Source organism: Homo sapiens, chromosome X, assembly GCF_000001405.40.
Source record: "Homo sapiens chromosome X, GRCh38.p14 Primary Assembly".
NCBI lineage: Eukaryota > Metazoa > Chordata > Mammalia > Primates > Hominidae > Homo > Homo sapiens.
Window position 1 is genome coordinate 152,321,216 of NC_000023.11, and position 23,427 is coordinate 152,344,642.

The 23,427-nt window shown below is 37.8% G+C and overlaps 1 protein-coding gene across 2 annotated transcripts in view; it reads right to left on the bottom strand.

Moving 5' to 3' along the window:
* The window catches only part of GABRA3 (gamma-aminobutyric acid type A receptor subunit alpha3), a 285,082-nt gene that overhangs the window by 154,982 nt on the left and 106,673 nt on the right, over nucleotides 1–23,427 (bottom strand). The gene's annotated exons all lie outside the window — the stretch shown is intronic.

Consider the following 23,427-nt stretch of genomic DNA (forward strand, 5'->3'; position numbering starts at 1 on the left):
ACATAGGTTAAAGCAATGATTCCCAAACTTGGCTACATATTAGACTCACATGGGGAGCTTTTAAATCTTCTGATTGTCCTAGTTCCACCAGTCAAATCAGAACATCTGTGGGTAAAGTCCAAGAATCAGTGCTTTTTATTACGGTAAAATACAGGGAATCAATATTTTTTAAAGATCATCAGGGAATTCCAATGTGCATCAAAATCAGTGCACAAAATCGAATTTAGTGCATCAAAATATGAGCACCACTGTATTGAAGTCTCATGGGCATCATTGTGAGTGCTGAGGGCCCTTGGAAAAGACTGTTGTCATATGACTTCCTTGATTAGTCCTCAGGCATCCCTTCGGTCTAATTCCAGATTCAAACCTACTCTTTGGAGATTGATTTTAGGCATTAATTTAATTGGATCTCTTGGGCAGAAAGTGAAACAAAGTAGTAACAAAAGACTGCAGTCTTTCTGTTGCTATGTAGCATCCCTCTCCACCAATCAGTGATTTCGCAAATGTCCATGAACATTTCTCCGTTTTCCTAGTTAGGTGTTTGTGCAAGAGAACCCTCCTCACAGTTTTCAATGACAAATATTGGGGTTATACAAAGTACACAGACCTTCATGTCAAACATGCTGAATTCCTTTCCTCCCTGTCCTTCCCTACTCTCTCCTCTCTTCTCCCCGCCACTCCTCTCCTCTCCATCAAAAAATAAAGTAAAACAATTTAAAAGTTTCTCAAACATTTAATCATAGAATTGCTACATGACCCCACAATTCCACTCCTAGGTATAAAACCTGAAAACAGGTGTTCAAACAAAAGCTTATACATAAATGTTTACAGCAATACAATTTACATTAGCAAAAAATGGAAGCACCTCAAATGTTTATGAATGAATAAACAGATAAACAAATTGTGGTTTATCCATACAATAGAATATTATTCATTCATAAAAAAGAATGACATACTGATACATGTACTGATACATGGATGTACCTCCAATATATCTTGCTAAATCAAAGAAAGCAGACACAAAAGGCCACATATTGTATGATTTCATCTATACGAAATATTCAGAATGGGTGAGGACATAGAGAATGCAAATTCATGGTTGCCAGGGGCTGAGAAGAGGAGAAACAGGGGTAAACTGCTTAATGGATAAGGGGTTTTACTTTGGAGGGATGGAAATGATTTGGAACTAGACAGAAGTTGTGGTAGCCTAACACTGTGAACATGTACTAAATGCCACTGAATTGTTCCCGTAAAATGGTTACCTTTTTATGTTATGTGAATTTCACCACAATAAATAATTTAAAATAAATAAAGTCAACTCTTTTTTTTTTTTTTGAGATGGAGTTTTGCTCTTGTTGCCTAGGCTGGAGTGCAATGGCACGATCTCGGCTCATTGAAACTTCTGCCTCCCGGGTTGAAGCAATTCTCCTGCCTCAGCCTCCCCAGTAGCTGGGATTACAGGTGCACACTACCACACCCAGATAATTTTTGTATTTTTAGTAAAAATGGGGTTTCACCATGTTGGTCAGGTTGGTCTCGAACTCCTGACCTCAGGTGATCCACCCACTCTGGCCACCCAAAGTGCTGGGATTACAGGTGTGAGCCACTGCACCAGGCCAAAGTCTACTCTTTTTTTTTTTTTTTTTTTTTTTTTTTGAGACAAAGTCTTGCTCTGTCACCAGGCTGGAGTGCAGTGGCGCAATCTCGGCTCACTGCAACCTCCGCCTCCCAGGTTCAAGCGATTCTCCTGCCTCAGCCTCCTGAGTAGCTGGGACTACAGGCGCGCACCACCATGCCCAGCTAATTTTTGTATTTTTAGTAGAGACGGGGTTTCACCATGTTGGTCAGGACGGTCTTGATCTCTTGATCTCGTGATCTGCCTGCCTCAGCCTCTCAAAGTGCTGGGATTATAGGCGTGAGCCAATGCACCCAGCCTCAAAGTCAACTCTTAATTAAAGTCATCTTAATGGCTTTGTCTCCATCAACCACTACCGAATTCTTTGGAGTGGGATATCATTCAGTGTTGCACTCATAGCCATTCTGAGCATGTTTTTTTGTTTGTTTAATCTGTCTTACTTTTATTTTTTACTTCATTTTGAATGTCAGTTCTAGTACAAGTAGCAGCGGGGGATCAGTAAACACCCTGGACTGGAATTCAAGAGGCCAATGTTCTATTCCTTGAACGGGAAAGTTTCCTCTCTGCTATGACCCTGAGTTTTACCATCTATAACCTTCTCACTTTCCCAGCAATGTTTTGAGAACAGAATATTACATAAAAGTAAGGACTAAATGGATGTGAAAGTGCCCTGCCAGCATTCATGAAGGGTAACAAGGATCCTGGGAATCTCTTTGTTTTTTCTTCCAATTAAAGAAAGAATTCCTTCTGCACTAGTAGCAGCTTATAAATGAGTAATATATTATCAGATATATTCTTTTCTTCACATTCTTTGAAGCAACTTTTGTAATGAGAGGATTAAACTGTAATTGCTTTCTGTTAAAAAAATATTAACACCAACCTTTTCTCTAATCATGCTTGTGTGCTTAATACTGTTTACATTTACACTGGTCTTTTTTGAGGAACCTAAAACACAGAGTCTACCTGGGCATAAAATCTGTATTTAGAGAAAATAGAACAAAGAAACTCTTAAGAGACCAAGGATACGTTTGTTTCCCTTAACATAATTCAAACAGCTTAGCTTTGGAAACTAGCCCTTTGTCTCATTGAGCTACTATTTCTAATTTATATGATTTTAAGAAAAACACTATGTCTTATCCAACCTTACATCCCCAGAGCACTTAGCAGAGTATCTGCCTTATTAAAGGAACTTAATAAATGAATTAATTAATGATTTAATCCATCAACATCCCTGTGGCAGTGATGGAAGTCATGAAGCTCATTTATTTGTTGGTGGAATCAGACAACAGAGAGGCTGGAAAATTATCCCAATGCCAAAAAGAATGTTCTTACTTTAACTGTGCTGTGTCATTATCAATAGCTTGGGAAGATAGGCTTAATTAGTTATATAGAATACTTTCTTTATTAAGGCTAATATCAATATCAATCAGCAGTAAAATTCTGGGTCAGACTGGTAAACAAAAATACGTAAGCTTTGGAAAAACAGATAATTATTAGCAGGAGCTACCATGGATTCACTAAAAACAAATTATGCCAAGCCTAACTTTTATGGAAAACAAAATTGCCACACATTTCACATCAAAGAGAGAAGCTGTTGACATTGTGTATCTGAATTTCATCAAGGCACTGACAGACTATATCATGTGTCCATTATGCTACATGGAAAAATTAAATAGATTAGAGAATATTTATATGGCTTCTTAACTGGTTAAAATATATCCAAAGATTTTGTTTAGTAGGTCAATATAAAACACTGATATAGTCTCTAATGGCTAATATCAGGCTTTGTCCTTAAATAATTATACTAAAAATAAAGACATAGAAGACATGATTCAATGATACAGATAAAAATTATAGTCAATACATTGAATAAAAGAAATAGAAAGCTTTATGTGGCTTGGAGTTATTAGAGTATAATATATAAGGTGAAATTTAATACGGATAAATAGAAATTCTTGCATTTGTCTCCAAAAATAAATACTAGGATACATAGGATTGAGGAGATTGGCTGGTCAATGGTTGTAAAAAAAATAATCTACTAGATTTTAATTGATCAAAAAGCATTAAGGTAAGCCAAGTGGGCAATGCCATCACCAAATAGGCCAATTTTATTTTTAGGTTACATTAATGGAAGTGTGATGTGTAAAATGGGAGAGGTGATAGTCCTGTTGTTCTGTGAGATAGCTTGAAAGCATCCAGAGTATTGTGTTCTTTACTAGATAACACACCTTAGGCTGGATATTAATAAACCTGGTAGATTACAGAGCAGCATTTTTCAAGCTGATCTATGGATGACTTGTATCCCAAGTGAGAAGTGATTAGGTGTTTTGTGGAGGGGAGAAAAAGGCCCAAGGTCAAAAAAGACTACATATGAAAACTGTTTCCTGGAGGTTCTAAGATGGCCGAATAGGAACAGCTCCAGTCTACAGCTCCCAGCGTGAGCAATGCAGAAGACGAATGATTTCTGCATTTCTAACTGAGCTTTGAAGAGAGTAGTGGTTCTCCCAGCATGGAGTTTGAGATCTGAGAACGGACAGACTGCCTCCTCAAGTGGGTCCCTGACCCCCGAGTAGACTAACTGGGAGACACCTCCCAGTAGGGGCCGACTGACACCTCATACAGCCAGGTGCCCCTCTGAGACAAAGCTTCCAGAGGAAGTATCAGGCAGCAACATCTGCTGTTCTGCAATATTTGCTGTTCTGCAGCCTCTGCTGGTGATACCCAGGCAAAGAGGGTCTGGAGTGGACCTCTAGCAAACTCCAACAGACCTGCAGCTGAGGGTCCTAACGGTTAGAAGGAAAACTAACAAACAGAAAGGACATCCACACCAAAATCCCATCTGTACGTCACCATCATCAAAGACCAACGGTAGATAAAACCACAAAGATGGGGAGAAACCAGAGCAGAAAAGCTGAAAATTCTAAAAATCAGAGCGCCTCTTCTCCTCCAAAGGAACGCAGCTCCTCACCAGCAACGGAACAAAGCTGGACAGAGAATGACTTTGACGAGTTGAGAGAAGAAGGCTTCAGCAGATCAGTAATAACCAACCTCTCCGAGCTAAAGGAGGATGTTCGAACCCATCACAAACAAGCTAAAAACCTTGAAAAAAGATTAGGCGAATGGCTAACTAGAATAAACAGTGTAGAGAAGACCTTTAATGACCTGACGGAGCTGAAAACCATGGCACTAGGACTACGTGACACATGCACAAGCTTCAGTAGCCGATTTGATCAAGTGGAAGAAAGGGTATCAGTGATTGAAGATCAAGTGAATGAAATGGAGTGAGAAGAGAAGTTTAGAGAAAAAAGAGTAAAAAGAAATGAACAAAGCCTCCAAGAAATATGGGACTACGTGAAAAGACCAAATCTACATCTGATTGGTGTACCTGAAAGTGATGGGGAGAATGGAACCAAGTTGGAAAACACTCTTCAGGATATTATCCAGGAGAACTTCTCCAACCTAGCAAGGCAGGCCAACATTCAAATTCGGGAAATACAGAGAACGTCACAAAGATACTCCTTGAGAAGAGCAACCCCAAGACACATAATTGACAGATTCACCAATGTTGAAATGAAGGAAAAAATGTTAAGGGCAGCCAGAAAGAAAGGTCGGGTTACCCACAAAGGGAAGCCCATCAGACTACCAGTGGATCTCTCAGCAAAAACTCTACGAGCCAGAAGAGAGTGGGGGCCGATATTCAACATTCTTAAAGAAAAGAATTTTCAACCCAGAATTTCATATCCAGCCAAACTAAGCTTTATAGCTGAAGGAGAAATAAAATCCTTTACAGACAAGCAAATGCTGAGAGATTTTGTCACCACCAGGCCTGCCCTAAAAGAGCTCCTGAAGGAAGCACTAAACATGGAAAGGAACAACTGGTACCAACCACTGCAAAAACATGCCAAATTGTAAAGACCATCGATGCTAAGAAAAACTGCATCAACTAACGGGGAAAATAAACAGCTAACATCATAATGACAGGATTATATTCACACATAACAATATTATCCTTAAATGTAAATGGGCTAAATGCTCCAATTGAAAGACACAGACTGGCAAATTGGATAAAGAATCTAGACCCATCAGTGTGCTGTATTCAGGAGACCCATTTCACGTGCAGAGACACATACAGGCTCAAAATAAAGGGATGGAGAAAGACCTACCAAGCAAATGGAAAAAAAAAAAAAGCAGGGGTTGCAATCCTAGTCTCTGATAAAACAGACTTTAAACCAACAAAGATCAAGAGACAAAGAAGGCCATTACATAATGATAGAGGGACCAATTCAACAAGAAGAGCTAACTATCCTAAATATATATGCACCCAATACAGGAGCACCCAGATTCACAAAGCAAGCCCTTAGAGACCTAAAAGAGACTGAGACTCCCACACAATAATAATGGGAGACTTTAACACCCCACTGTCAACATTAGACAGATCAACGAGACAGAAAGTTAACAAGGATATCCAGGAATTGAACTCAGCTCTGCACCAAGCGGACCTAATAGACATCTACAGAACTCTCCACCCCAAATCAACAGAATATACATTCTTCTCAGCACCACATCACACTTATTCCAAAATTGACCACATAGTTGGAAGAAAAGCACTCCTTAGCAAATGTAAAAGAACAGAAATTACAACAAACTATCTCTCAGACCACAGTGCAATCAAACTAGAACTCAGGATTAAGAAACTCACTCAAAACCGCTCAACTACATGGAAACTGAACAACCTGCTCCTGAATGACTACTGGGTACATAACGAAATGAAGGCAGAAAGAAAGATGTTCTTGGAAACCAATGAGAACAAAGACACAACATACCAGAATCTCTGGGACACATTTAAAGCAGTGTGTAGAGGGACATTTATAGCACTAAATGCCCACAAGAGAAAGCAGGAAAGATCTAAAATTGACACCCTAACATCACAATTAAAAGAACTAGAGAAGTAAGGGCAAACACATTCAAAAGCTAGCAGAAGGCAAGAAATAACTAAGATCAGAGCAGAACTGGAGGAGATAGAGACACAAAAAACACTTCAAAAAATCAAAGAATCCAGGAGCAGGTTTTTTGAAAGATCAACAAAATTGATAGACTGCTAGCAAGACTAAAAAAGAAGAAATGAGAGAAGAATCAAATAAACACGATAAAAAATGATAAAGGGGATATCACCACTGATCCCACAGAAATAAAAACTACCATCAGAGAATACTATAAACACCTACACAAATAAACTAGAAAATCTAGAAGAAATGGATAAATTCCTGGACACATACACCCTCCCAAGACTAAACCAGGAAGAAGTTGAATCCCTGAATAGACCAATAACAGGCTCTGAAATTGAGGCAATAATTAATAGCCTACCAACGAAAAAAAGTCCAGGACCAGACGGATTTACAGCCAAATTCTAGCAGAGGTACAATGAGGAGCTGGTACCATTCCTTCTGAAACTATTCCAATCAATAGAAGAAGGGGGAATCCTCTCTAACTCATTTTATGGGGCTAGCATCTTCCTCATACCAAAGCCTGGCAGAGACACAACAAAAAAGGAGAATTTTAGACCATTATCCCTGATGAACATCGATGCAAAAATCCTCAATAAAATACTGGCAAACCGAATCCAGCAGCACATCAAAAAGATTATCCACCACGATCAAGTTAGCTTCATCCCAGGGATTCCAGGCTGGTTCAACATACACAAATCAATAAACGTAAATCAGCATATAAACAGAACCAAAGACAAAAACCACACAATTATTTCAATAGATGCAGAAAACGCCTTTGACAATATTCAACAGCCCTTCATGCTAAAAACTCCCAATAAACTAGGTATTGATGGAATGTATCTCAAAATAATAAGAGCTATTTATGACAAACCCACAGCCAATATCATACTGAATGGGCAAAAACTGGAAGCATTCCCTTTGAAAACTGGCACAAGACAGGGATGCCCTCTCTCACCACTCCTATTCAACATAGTGTTGGAAGTTCTGGCCAGGGCAATCAGGCAAGAGAAAGAAATAAAGGGTATTCAATTAGGAAACGAGGAAGTCAAATTGTCCCCATTTGCAGATGACATGATTGTATATTTAGAAAACCCCATCGTCTCAGCCCAAAATCTCCTTAAGCTGATAAGCAACTTCAGCAAAGTCTCTGGATACAAAATCAATGTGCAACAATCACAGGCATTCCTATACACCAATAACGGACAGAGAGCCACATCATGAGTGAACTCCCATTCACAATTGCTTCAAAGAGAATGAAATATCTAGGAATCCAACTTACAAGGGACATGAAGGACCTCTTCAAGGAGAACTACAAACCACTGCTCAACGAAATAAAAGAGGACACAAACAAATGGAGGAACATTCCATGCTCATGGATAGGAAGAATCAGTATCGTGAAAATGGCCATACTGCCCAAGGTAATTTATAGATTCAATGCCATCCCCATCAAGCTACCAATGGCTTTCTTCACAGAATTGGAAAAAACTACTTTAAAGTTCATATGGAACCAAAAAAGAGCCCACATAGCCAAGACAATCCTAAGCCAAAAGAACAAAGCTGGAGGCATCATGCTACCCGACTTCAAATTATACTACAAAGCTACAGTAACCAAAACAGCATGGTACTGGTATCAAAACAGAGATATAGACCAACGGATCAGAACACAGCCCTCAGAAATAATACCACACATCTTCAACCATCTGATCTTTGATAAACCTGACAAAAACAAGAAATGGGGAAAGGATTCCCTATTTAATAAATGGTGCTGGGAAAACTGGCTAGCAATAAGTAGAAAGCTGAAACTGGATCCCTTTCTTACACCTTACACAAAAATTAATTCAGGATGGATTAAAGACTTAAATGTTAGACCTAGAACCATAAAAACCCTAGAAGAAAACCTAGGTGAAACCATTCAGGACACAGGCATGGGCAAGGACTTGATGACTAAAACACCAAAAGCAATGGCAACAAAAGCCAAAATCGAAAAATGGGATCTAATTAAACTAACGAGCTTCTGCACAGCAAAAGTAACTACCATCAGAGTGAACAGGCAACCTACAGAATGGGAGAAAATTTTTACAATCTACCCATCTGACAAAAGGCTGATATCCAGAATCTACAAGGAACTTAAACAAATTTACAAGAAAAAAATCAAACAACCTCATCAAAAAGTGGGCAAAGGATATGAACATACACTTCTCAAAAGAATACATTAATACAACCAACAGACACATGAAAAAATGCTCATCATCACTGGCCATCAGAGAAATGCAAATCAAAACCACAATGAGATACCATCTCACACCTGTTAGAATGGGGATCATTAAAAAGTCAGGAAACAACAGGTGTTGGAAAGGATGTGGAGAAATAGGAACACTTTTACACTGCTGGTGGGACTGTAAACTAGTTCAACTATTGTGGAAGACAGTGTGGCAATTCCTCAAGGATCTAGAACTAGAAATACCATTTGACCCAGCCATCCCATTACTGGGTATATACCCAAAGGATTATAAATCATGCTGCTATAAAGACACATGCATACATATGTTTATTGTGGCACTATTCACAATAGCAAAGACTTGTAACCAAGCCAAATGTCCATCAATGATAGACTGGATTAAGAAAATGTGGCACATATACACCATGCAATAGTATGCAGCCATAAAAAACGATGCGTTCATGTTCTTTTTTGGGACATGGATGAAACTGGAAACCCTCATTCTGAGCAAACTATCGCAAGGACAGAAAACCAAACACCGCATGTTCTCACTCATAGGTGGGAATTGAACAATGAGAACACTTGGACACAGCGTGGAGAACATCACACACCGGGACCTGTCGTGGGGTGCAGGGAGGGGGGAGGGGTAGCATTAGGAGATATACCTAATGTAAATGACGAGTTAATAGGTGCAGCACACCAACATGGCACATGTATACATATGTAACAAACCTGCCCATTGTCCACATGTACCCTAGAACTTAAAAGTATAATAAAAAAAGAAAACTGTTTCCTATGTATTCATAATTAATATTAACATAAAAAGGAATCTTTGTAGTCTTGCATTAAAAACCCATTTGCCTTTGTTAAGCTACCTAAACATTTGACAAAACAATTTCATTTTTCAAAACACTGGGTCACTTGTTGATTTCTCACAGGATGTTAACATTCAGTGGAACACAGTTTGAGGAATGTTGACTGAGAAGACAGTGATCAGGACTGTGAAACACCCTGAAACCAGAAAACATGAAGGACACTTGAAGACACTAAAGATAGAATTCCCCTCAAATTTCCAGAGGCTCATCACATAAAAACAGACTTTGGAAGGAAAAAAAAAAAAAAGCCAACTCTCCCATAATTAAAACTGGCACCATGAATTCAAAGGGACCATCTACAGAACTTCTTAGGAAGGTTTAAAGTGGGAGCACTAACTCACGAATTAGAGGTAATCAAGCAGAAGCTAGATAGCTAAGTATCAGCAGTGCTACAAAAGGGATTATCGTCCTCAAAGAGAGGCTGGTTGGGAAAAAATTTGGAAGTTTCTTCATGAGTTAACATTCTGTACCTCACTAACCAGCTCATGGACATCTTATGATTTTACAGGCACTTCAACTGGAAGTGTTCTGCGATGCAGAGTAATTCAGTAATGAGTTGAAATTCCATGAAGGTGTTTGCCCAGGGACACACAGAATGCACTCCTTGGTAAAGTAAATATCAAATACCACACTTAATTTCATACCAGCCAGCTATTGCACAGTAGGGGCCCAAGTATAGCAGTAAAACAATAAATTTACCATTTTAGAATAATCAAACTGAAGAATGAAGGAGGTGAAATCTAAACTTATTTACAGGTCAACAAGTAAAGGGACAGGAAGAGATTTAACCAAAGTTGACAACTCATGCTGGTAGAGCTATATAACTAAAGTCTCCTCTCAGTCCAAGACTGTTCCCATCACTCCAATGACTACCAAACCCCTGATGTACTATGATCAATAATAATCTGGAATTGCCTCAAGAATAAACTTATCTTTAGGTTTTAATATATACCTAATTAATGTTAAATAAATCTACATTTAGTCATTAAAGTTTTCTCTGAAGAGTTAAGTGCCCCATCAGCCAAGTTTTGAGTTGGTGTGTTACACTACCACACATCTTCTTTAATTCACCACTATGCCCATTAACTTGATGATTCATTTCCTATTTAACTTCCTTTTAGCTAGAAATCAAAACAGCCCATCAAAATGCTGTAGTTATCTCCTGAATGTCAAAGGAGTCTTTCTTAAACACAAGATCACATCTACTTTTCAATTTGAAAACAATTCTGTGTGCTGTTTCTTATCCAATACTATAAACATTGTTCTGTCAAATATCTTACTAACGTGACTTTTCAGTTATCTTATTAATATGGCTTCTCTCTTCATAATGCATAGAAGACAGAATGCCTACAACCACTAATTCATTCCCTGGGTTCCTTTTTCTGGTGGAGAGTGAAAACTATTTCTCAAAAAAAGCTATGCTAAGATTGCTAATTGGGAGAGGTTATGCCCTTTCTGTCCACCTTGTGTTCATTATTTCAGTTACAGCAAGCACTTTCTCAAGCACTTTCTTTCCCAGTACTTAGGTGGAAGAAAGGGAAGAAAACAAACTCCCACTTACTGAGCATCTATTTGATAGGTTATTTACATAATTTATTTTCTTAATCCTCAGAACAACTTGGCAAGGTATCTCGACCCTTTTTTTTACAGATGAGAAAACAGACTTGGGGAGAACAAGAAAGTGCTCCATGATTAGACAGCTGGAACAACCGGCAGAGAACGGACTGACCTCTTGGTCTGCCTGCCTGTAAAAGCCCTGTTCTCTGGTGCAAACCCTGTTTGAAGGGGCAAAGATCCATGCCAACGCAGAGGCCTGTGTAGACAAAAGCTGCCTTATAATGAGCAGGACCCAGGCCCTAGTGTTTTTGCTTTAACCCACAAGCATCATCTTGCTTCTCATTTTAAAATTTTATGGTCAAAAATTCTCTTTGGAGGCTTGGGAATTCAAATTCAGCAGCTTTAATCATGCTACTTACTGAAAATTTCTTCCTAATGGTATACATTATCCACCCATCACAACTCCCTTTGCACAAGCCAAGTTTGTGTAGATTACTACATGTAGTAAAATCATTTGGATAAGAACTGTGAGCTGAGAATTGGCCATTGTTTTTCTTCCCGGGGCAATTTTGTGATCCTTGGCATTGCTTAGAGGCGAAAGATCTGGGTGTGATCCTGGTAGAAAGCACCAAAGCTTTTAGTGGATACATGAGACTGGTATAATAAAATTGAAAAATTTTATATACATGGCAGCTTTTCTCACAGAACATTTGCTGAATTCTGAGGTTGCACAAGACGCTGAAGAGGCAGGCCAAAATTTCAGAAAAGGAGAACAAAATATCCTGTAGCCTTGCAGTGCTTATGAAACACGGAGAAAAGAACTTCCTTAATCATATAAAAAAATTTACAAAGTAAACCTACAACAAATTCCATTATTAATGGTGAAATATCAAAAGCTTTCCACTGAAATAAGAAACAAAACAAGGATAGCTGCTATTACCTCTTCTGTTCTACTCTAATTGAAGATGATATGAATTTGTATGCAGAAAATCTAAAAGAAATTGTAGACAAATGTTGGAATTAGTAAGTCAGTAGAAAAAGGCTTCCAGATACAAGGGCAATGTGTAAAACCAATCATATCTCTACATAGCTATAACAAATGTTATTTTATCCTTCTTTTGCCCTAATCCTCCTATATTGAAGAACAAATTCTCAAAATGGCATGAAAAATCATATCTCAAGGCATAGATCAAGCAAAAATATGTAAGACCTCGAAAGTGAAAAGGCCAAAACATTATTCAGAGGAATTACAGAATAAAATTAAGAGGAATATACTAATTTATGAATTAGAACATTCAGTATTATAAAGATTTTTTAAAACTCCACAAGTTTACTTATATATTCAATATGAAGCCAACCTGAGTAGATTTTTTTCTCAGAAAATGATAAGCGGATTATAAAATTTATCTAGAAATTTGAAAGGCCATGAATAGTCAAGATAATCTTGAAAATAACAAGGCTGGATGACTTATATTACCAGATATCAAACCTATCATAAATATATAGTAATTAAGATAGAAGTGACATTTATCATGAGAATGAAGTTTGGCCTAAACATATGTAAATCAATCATTGTTATTTACTGTGTCAACACACTAAAAAGAAAAATTATATAACTAGCCTAATAGACAGAGAAAGAACAATTGAAAAATTCTGACGTTCCTGTTAAAAACTTTTAGCAAACTAGGAGTAGAAGAAAACTTCCCAAAATTGATAAATTTCATCTAGGAAAAACCTACACCTATCATCATATTTAATGTTGAAAGACTGAACCCTTTCTCCCTAAGATCAGGAACAAGACAATGGTGTCTGCTTTCACCATGTCTATTCAACATTATATGTGAAGTCTACTCAGTGCAATAAAGAAAGAAAAAAGAGCATCCATATTGCACAGGAAGAATTAAAATGGTCTTTCTTCCTATAGGACATAATCATTTAAGCATATTATCTAATGAATCTACAAAAAAAGCTACTAGAAGTTTCACTTCTGATATGAAAACATGAAGAACTCTGCAGACCTGCTCCTCAGTGAAATGGAAATTTATTATCATTATTTTTCCTTTCTGTGAAGAATGGGGTCTGGCTACGTTGCCCAGCCTGTTCTCAAATTTCTGGGCTCAAGCTATCTTCATGCCTTTGCCTCCCTAAGTGCTTGGATTACAGGTGTGAGCCACTATGCCTGGTCTAAAATTTATTTTTGAAACAACGAAATAAAGTTTCTGAAAATGCTCCTATGGGCATACATAAAATCAAAAAAAAATTATTCAAGAAAAAATGTATTCAAGAAAATCTACTAAAACTGAGTAAGAAAGCAAGAGGTTAGAATATTTAAACCGAGAACCATTCCCACCCACCTGCCAGCTCAGTGAAACAGAAACTCTATTCTAGATGTGTGCAACCAAGAACACAGGGCTCTCTCTTCCCCCATCTCCCAGCTGAAGAGCTATCTTCCTGGGTAAGGCACGACGTCAGCATTTCTCATCCAGGAATAAGCTACCTGTTGCTGAGCTAAATTCTAAGCAACTTTGGCTGAGAGTTTCTTCCTTTCTTGCTCCCAGCCCTCACTTACGGCACGGAGACTCTAACTTGGGAATAGCACTGCTGAGAGTACTGTGGCCTCAAGTTCTCTTGATCTGGCTAATGGAGCAGTGGTCCATGCTCAAAAATGCAAGCTGAGGAGACCTGGGGCCACTGCCATCACCCCTCTACCAAGCACTCAGCAACTAACATAGGGTCGTTCCTCAGAGAAAAGTGTGCCTTGTTCTCACCCCAAGAACTAGAACCATAGCTTAGAGATTTTGCCCAAGAGAGAAGCAGACCATAGAAGAGAGAGCATCAGATCGTTCCCCAAAGGAACTGACTTCATTTGCAACAAAGTATGGAGAAGTTCAAGCCTAGGGGTGCTCTCAAAAACAAGGGAGACTGTAGTGAAAGGCAATTAGGAGAAAACTGAAAGATACATTGGATGTACAGGCCAAACTGCAGACCAGCTAGTTTGCTGGAGAGAAACTGGGAAAAAGAAAGCTAGAAGGAGCCCTTCTGCAGTCAGAACAAATACCAAACAAATCTTTCACCTCTGCAACTATTAAAACCTTCAAAGAATTTTTTAAATTTTATTTTTATAGATTTAAGTGTACAAGTGCAGTTGTGTTACCTGGATATATTGCATAGTGGTGATGTCTGGGCTTTTACTATACCCACCACCTGAAACTTCAAAGATTCTTTTTTTTCAGAGACTGAGTCTCTTTCTGTTTACCCAGGCTGAAGTACAGTGGCACAGTTATGGCTCACTGCCTCTAATTCTTGAGCTCAAGCGATCCTGCTACCTCAGCCTCTCGAGGAGCTGGGACTACAGTTGCATGCTACCATGCCCAGCTAATCTTTTTATTGTTTTGTAGAGACAGGGTCTCACTATAATACCCAGGTTGCTCTTAAACTCCTAGCCTCAAGCGATCCTCCTGCCTTAACCTCCCAAAGTGTTGGGATTACAGGGGTAAGCCAGCATCCTGCCAATTTCAAAGTTTTTTGAAGTATATTTTCTTAATTTATTTAGCACAGAGGTCCAAGGAAAGGAACAAATATTGGTCCCCAAAAGGGCAGTTACTGAGACCTATGTTAAAAGATTTTTTCTATCCCACCCCACCACAGGCCTTTATTCTTTATATTCAATATCTCCCCCCCTTCATTTTTTGCTCCTGCCAATGACACTTATAGTCAAAACTTAGTTATAACAATGGCTCCAGGAGAGTGATTTTAACACAGCCAATGACCAAGTTAATGCTAAGAAACTGTTCCTGCTTCAGCTCACAATGGCTCCACTTCTCCGTATCACTCCTAATGAATATGTAGCTTGGATCGTGTACAATTTAAACCTGTTTCTTGTTCTAATGTCACAAAAATAAAATCCTTTTGGCAGCCAGACAAACATCTTCATTACCAACCATGGGTTTCCATACCTTGCTTGACAATCATCCCACCCATCCCATAAGTTTAAATGTATAATTTGTCAATGAGCAATGTTTTCCTAAGACAACATACACATCTAGAAATACTTGCTGCCTTTATGTAAGTTTGGTGAAGTTTCTTAGTTCATTCAAAATTCAGTGAGACCAGAAAACAAGATGAGTAGAACTGAACCTTTCAGGAACAGCTAATTAATAAAGAGAAAAGCACTTTGCTGGCCTCCTAGAAAGACCCCAGTTTCGTAATTTGGAGTCTTCAGAAGGCTCTGCATTATAATTTCCAGAAGCTGGTTTCAGGAAGAGTTTTAAATATTATGCAGAAAATGATTTTAGGAGTCACAGAATAACATGTCTCAAAGGGGTCTCAAGTGGTCCCCCAATTCTATTTTAAACAGCTTCAAGAGGAAATCCATTGGCTACAAGAGACAAGTCAGAGTCATAGATGTCTTCTAATTCCCCTTCTAGATGGATTCAGATTTGATTAATCCATCCATTAAAAAGATACAAGGAGAGAGAAACTGCAGGTTATGGTTGCAGAGTGTTTGGTCATGTGGATTCCCCCAAAGATAACGCTCAGAATCAAGATAAAATATTTTTTTATAAAAATTTACTGGTGCTTAACAGATGTACACGGCTTTGGGATACATGTGATAATTTAATATATTCATATAGTTTGTAAAGATTAAATCAGTGTACTTAGGATATCCATCACCTTAGATATGCGTCTTTTCTTTGTGCTAGAACCATTCAAATTTTTCACTCCTAGCTGTCTTGAAATAGAAATACATCATTGTAAACTAAAGTCACCCTATTGATTGTACTAACACTAGGTCTTATTTTTACTATCTAATTGTATATTTATACCTAATCAACTTCTCTTCATCTCTCCCTTCCTCCCACCCTTCCCAGCCTCTAGTAACCACCAATCTACTCTCTAACTCCATGGGATCCACTATTTTAAGGTCCACACATGAGTGAGAACATGTGATATTTGTCTTTCTGTGCTTGGCTTGTTTAACTTAACAAAGACCTCCAGTTCCACCCATGTTGCTGCAAATGACAGGAATTCATTATTTTGGTTGGGCATGGTGACTCACAACTGTAATCCCAGCACTTTGGGAGGCTAAGGTGGGAGGATTGTTTGAGCCCAGGAGTTCAAGACCAGCCTGGGCAACATAGTGAGACCCTGTCTCTACAAAAAATAAATATAAAAAATAAATTAGCCTGTAGTCCCAGCTATTCAGGAGGCTAAGGAAGGAAGATCCCGTGAGCCCAGGAAATCAAGGCTGCAGGGAGCCATGATCATGCTACTGCACTCCAGCTCGGGCAACAGAGCAAGACCCTGCCTTACAAAAAATTAAAAAACAAACAACAAATAAAAACAGAAAAAAGAGATTTTGTAATTTTCCGTGGCTGAATAATATTCCATGATGTACATATACCACATTTTCTTTATCCATTCATCTGTTAATGGGCACTTAGGTCGATTCCATATTTTGGCTATTGTAAATAGTGCTGTAATAAACATGGGAGTACAGCTATCTGTTGGATATATTGATTTATTTTAGATATATACCCAATAGTGCAATTGCTGGATCATATGGTAGCTCTGTTTTTAGTTTTCTGAATAATCGCCACCCTGTTCTGCATAGTGCCCATACTGATTTACATTCCACTCAACAGTGCCCAAGGGCTCTCCTTTTACTGTATTGTCACCAGCATCTGTTATTGTCCAACTTTTGGGTAACAGCCATTTTAACTGAGTTGAGATGATATATAACTGTAGTTTCGATGTGCACTTCCCTGATCGTTAATGATTTTGAGCATTTTTTCATGTACCTCTTGGCCATTTGTATGTCTTCTTCTGAGAAATGTCTGTTCAGATCTTTTGTCTATTTTTAAATTGGATTATTTATTTTTTGCTACTGAGTTTTTTGAGATCCTTATATATTCTAGTTGTTAATCTCTTGTCAGATAGGTAGCTTGCAAATATTTTCTCCCATTTTGTGGGTGTCTCTTCACTTTATTGGTTGTTTCCTTTGCAGCACAGAAGCCTTTTAGCTAGATAGAATCCCATTTGTTTATTTTTGCTTTTGTCATCTGTGCTTTCGAGGTCTTACAAAAATAGTATTTGCCCAGACCAACTTCCTGGAGCATTTCCCCAATATTTTCTTCCAACAGTTTTATAGTTCAGGTTTTAGATTTTAGTATTTAATTCATTTTGATTTGATTATTGTGTATGATGAGAGATAGGGGTTGAGTTTCATTCTTCTGCATATAATTATCCAGTTTTCCCAGCATTATTTGTTGAAGCGACTGTCCTTTTATCATTGTATGTTCTTGGATCTTTCGTCCAAGATAAATTGGCTGTAAACATGTGGATTTATATGTGGGTTTTCTATTCTGTTCCACTGGTTTATGTGTCAGTTTTTTGCCAGTATGATGCTGTTTTGATTACTACAGTTTCACAGTTGATTTTGAAATCAGGAGTGGGTTACCTCCAGTTTTGTTATTTATTTTCAAATTGCTTTGGCTATTTGGGGTCTCTTGTCATCCTATGTACATTTAAGGATTTTTTTTTTCCTATTTCTATGAAGAACGTCTTTGGTATATCGGTAGAGATTACATTGAGTCTGTAAATTGCTTTGGGTAGTATTGTCATTTTAACAATATTAATAAATAAACTCAAATACAGCCAATCAATCTTCAACAAAACAAACAAAAACATAAAGTCGGGAAAGAACACCCTATTATGTTGTAATTTTTTTTTTTTTTTAAGACGGAGTCTTGCTCTGTCGCCCAGGCTGGAGTGCGGTGGTGTGATCTCGGCTCATTGCAACCTCCACCTCCCAGGTTCAAGTAATTCTCCTGCCTCAGCCTCCCAAGTAGCTGGGACACGCCACCACGCCTGGATAATTTTTGTATGTTTAGTAGAGACGGGGTTTCACCATGTTGGCCAGGCTGGTCTCAAACTCCTGACCTCAGATGATCTGCCCACCTTGGCCTCCCAAAGTGCTGGGATCACAGACGTGAGCCACTGCCCCCAGCCTATGTTGTAATTTTTTTAAATGTTATAATGCAGAATATGGTCTATTTTCATAAATGTTGCAGTACACTTGAAGAGAATGTGTATTTTGCTGTTGTTGATTGGAATGTTCTATAAATGTCAGTTAGGTGAAGTTGGTTGTTAGCATGGGTCAAGTTTCTGCTTTCTTTACTTATTTTCTGTCTACTTGTTCCATTATCTAATTCGGGCGTTGTTGAAATCTCTAACTATATTATAGACCATCTCTTTCTCGTTTCACTTCTCGGTCTGTACTCCTAGTAATATTCTTTGCTCTCATGTCTACTTTTTCTGATATTAAAATAACTACTCCAACCTTCTTTTAATTTGTGTTAGTATGATGCATCTTTTCCTATCATTTTATCTTTAACCCACTTGTGGTTTTATATTTAAAGTGCATTTCTCTCAGGGAGAAATTTGCTCTTTTTAAATCCAATCTGACCACCTCTGCCTTTAAATATGGGTGTTTAGATGATTTATATTTAATGAGATTATCTGTGTAGTTAAGTTTAAATCTACAACCTTGCTATTTGTTTTCTGTTTGTTTCTTCTATTCTTTGTTAGCTTTTCCTCTTTTTCTGCCTTCCTATGGATTGAATATTTTTCTTATTACATTTTTACATCCTTCGTTGCTTTATTAGCTAAATTTTCAAGTTCTATAGTGCACATCCTTATCACAGTTTACCTACAGGTAATATTATCTCACTTTCTGTGTAATACAAAACTGTTCAATGGCATATTTCCACTTCTTTGTGATTTCATTGACATACATTTTCCTTGTACATATATTACAAGCTACACAATACATGGTTATTATTTTTGCTTTAAGTATTTACTTATCATTTGGTGAGAATTTTTAAATGAGGAACTATTTTACATTTACCCACAGTTTCCATTTCCACTGCCCTTCCCTTCTTTGTATAGATCCAGATTTCTATCTGGCATCATTTTCCTTGTGCTGACACATTTCTTCCAGTACAGATCTGCTGGTGATGAATCTTTTTAAGTGTTTATGTGTTTGAAAAAAGTGTTTATTTTGCCTTTTGGGGGGAAATTTATTTTCTCTGGTTAAAGAATCCTAGGATGGCTTTTGTTCTTCTCTCAGTACTTTAAAGCTGTTGCTCCACTACCTTGTGACAAAAAGTCTAGTATCCTTCTAAAGTTTTTCATCTGCACATAATGTCTTCTTTTACTCTATTTGCTTTTCAGATTTTCTTTTTATCATTGGTTCTAAGCAATTTTTTCCTTTCTCTTGGTGTAATTTTCTTCATGCTTCTTGTCCTTGGAGTTGTTGACTTTCTTGGTTGGGGAGATTGCAATTTTAATCAAAGTTAGAATTGTTTAATTTTTTTATTTCAATACCCTTTGGGTACAAGTGTTTTTGGTTACATGGATGAATTATACAGTGGTGAATTCTGAGATTTTAGTGCACCCATCACTTGAGTAGTGTACGTTGTACCCAATATGTACTTTTTTATCCCATATCTCCCTCTCAATCTCCCACTTCTGAGTCTCCAAAGTCCATTTTATCACTCTGTCTGCCTTTGTGTAATCATAGCTTAGTTCTCACTTATAAGTGAGAACATATAGTATTTGGTTTTCCATTTCTTAGTTATTTCACTTAGTATAATGGCCTCCAGCTCCGTCCACCCAAGTTACTGCAAGGACATTATTCCACTCCTTTTTATGGCCAAGTAGTTTTCCACAATGTGTATGTATCACATTTTCTTTTTCCACTCATTGGTTGATGGGCACTTAGGTTGGTTCCGTATCTTTGCAATTGTGAATTGGGCTGCAACAAACATATATGTGCATGTGTCTTTTTTATACAATGACTTCTTTTCCTTTTACTAGATACCAAGTAGTGGGATTACTGGATCAAATGGTAGCTATACTTTTAGTTCTTTAAGGAATCTCCATACTGTTTTCCATAGAGGTTGTACTAATTTATATGCCCACTAGCAGTGTATAAACGTTTCCCTTTCACCATATCCATAACAACATCTATTGACTTTTTTTTTTTTTTTTTTTGAGTCTTGCTCTGTTGCCAGGCTGGAGTGCAGTGGCGTGATCTTGGCTCACTACCATCTCTGCCTCCCGGATTCAAGCCATTCTCCTGCCTCAGCCTCCCAACTAGCTGGGACTACAGGCACACACCACTACCCCCCGCTAATTTTTTTGTATTTTTCGTAGAGACGGGGTTTCACAATGTTATCCAGGATGGTCTCGATCTCTTGACCTTGTGATCTACCTGCCTCGGCCTCCAAAAGTGCTGGGATTACAGGCATGAGCCACCATGCCCAGCCTGACTTTATTTTGTTTTATTTTACTTTATTTTATTTTATTCTATTTTATTTTAGATGGAGTCTCACTCTGTTGCCCAGGCTGGAATGCAGTGGCGTGATCTCAGGTCACTGCAACCTCCGTCTCCCGGATTCAAGCAATTCTCCTGCCTCAGCCTCCCAAGTAGCTGGGACTACAGGCACACCTCACCACGCCTGGCTAATTTTTGTATTTTTAGTAGAGACGGGGCTTCATCATATTAGCCAGGCTGGTCTCGAACTCCTGACCTCGTGATCCGCCCACCTCAGCCTCTCAAAGTTTTGGGATTATAGGCGTGAGCCACCACGCCCGGCCCTATTGACTTTTTAATAATGGCCATTCTTGCAGGAGGAATGTAGTATCTCACTGTGGTTTTAATTTGCATTTCCCTGATGATTAGTGATGTTGAGCAGTTTTTCACATGTTTCTTAACCATTTATATATATTCTTTTGAGAAATGTCTATTAATGTCATTTGCCCAAAAAGTCAGAATCTTTTGACCAGTTTTTCTTCAAGTATATTTTCTGCCCCCTTCAGATAATCCCATTACAGTTACATTAGACTACATGAAGCTGTACCACAGTGCACTGATTTCCATTTCATTTTTCAGTCTTTCTTTCTCTCCATGTCTTGTTTTTGCTAATTATTATTGCTATATCCTTAGGCTTATTAGCGTTTCTGTCCTTTTTGGGTTGTAGTTTCTTGTTTCCTTGCATGCTTGGTAATTTTTGACTGGAAACTTTTTTCCAGAAAATTTTCTCAAATTTTTTGACTGGAAACTTTTGACTGGAATCATCGTGAATTCCACTTTGTCAGATATCAGATTTTTTTACTGCTATAAATATTTTTGATTTTTGTTCCGAGATAATGTGTTACTTAGAAATAGTTAAATTCTTTGAAGCTTGATTTTAACCTTTGTCATGTGGGACTAGAGCAGCCTTTAGTCTTGGGATAATTTTGCCATGCCACTGAGGCCATATTCTAAGTACCCTACCCCATGTACCAGGTGTTAAAAGTGTTTCCACCAAGTAGAGTGATGGAAACTCTGGTTGGTGAAAACACAAGTTATTCCAAACCCTGATGTTTTACCCACTGTTTCCAGTGGTCTTTTCCTCATCCTTGAGCTGTGAGGTAAGGAGTACATCCTTGAGTTGTGAGGTAAGGAGTACATACTTGAAAACTTGTGAAGCACCCTCTACAGATTTCTGCTTTCTCTCTCTCTGTCTTTCTCTCCACAACTTTTTAGTCTCCATGCAGCTCTATCTTCTCCTCTGCCTTATGAATTAATAACCTTGGCCTCCCCAATTTCTCAACTTCTTCTCAACTGAAACAGTCCACCAGACGCTATCTGGGCTCCCCTCCCTGCACTGTAGCCTAAAAATTTGCTCCAGGCAGTTAAGGATCAGCAATCACAGAGCTCACCTTGTTTGTTTTCTTTCTTTCAGGAATCAATATCCTGTGCTGCCTTTGTTTGATTTCTATAAAACACTATATATTTGTTCATTTCTTTGTGGTTGTTTAAGATGGGAGAGTAAATCTGGTCCTTATTTTCTTTCTCTTCTTTCCATATTAATTGTTCCAACCTCAAATCCAAAAAAAAAAAAAACAAAACGCAATTGCACCATTCTCCCTCCAGTCTTCCCTATTTTAGAAAATAGCACCACCCAGTGATACAAGCCAGGAACCTAGAAGTTATCCCTTTCTCCTCCTCTTTTTCTAACCCCATAATCTAAGCAGTCACCAAATTCTCTCCATTCACACAGTCATTATTTTCATCCTAGAAAATTGCAATTAATTTGTGACTGGTCTCTCCTCCTTCAATACCGCTCTACTCTAATCCATTATTTATATAAAAGCAGGCGTTACATAGCCTTAGTCCAAAATCAAAACACAATGAAAAAACTGCAAATATATATTTAACTTTACTTAATGTGTTTATTGTAGTACTATGGGTGTAGTAATTTCAAAATATTTTTGTATATTGTAGGATTAAACAAATGGGTACATGTATCAATTAAAAGTACTTGTTGGACTGCAATTAGTAGTATCAGTGTAAACTTATTGCCATACATGCACACACACATACATATACATATATACAATACATCTGTGTGTGTATATGTGTGAGTGTGTGTGCATTTGCTATTTTCCCAGTTCTATCTACTGAAAAATCCTGGAAGCAATGAGATCCTAGCAGTAATGAGGACACCTAGCAGCCAGAAATTTGATTCTAAATGTAATTTCCCAAAAAAGGTACCACTTATTCTTGGAAAAATGACTAATTCCAAGGCTGGATTATGAAAGTACAAAATAAGTCTGGAATATACTGTCATGCCATATAATAAGAAAGTACTCAAAAAATGAGAGCATATCAAAAGGAAACAGAAGCCAAATGGAATAGGCTTCCACTTAGGGAATATGGGAAATTATTAGCAAAAATTTTAATCAAAATAGTCTATTGAAATGAATGATATTAATGGACTGTAATCCACCGAATAAAGCAAAAATCCATTCATACTGACATTAGCTAATTAATTAAAGAGAAAGAGATTTTTTCTTACAATAGAATGTCATTTAGTAAGTGTAGAATAATAATCGCTTTAGAAAATCACCATTTTGCCACCATAATTGTTATTAGTCTCACAGGGATAATCTATAGTTGTTAAGACTATTGGGTGTAAGCTGGAAAAGGCATAAAATAGTGTCAGAACATCTCTCCACAAATTACGTATTAATTATAAACTTTTAAAATAGTAATTTTAGAGTGCAGCAACCTGGTAAACATCT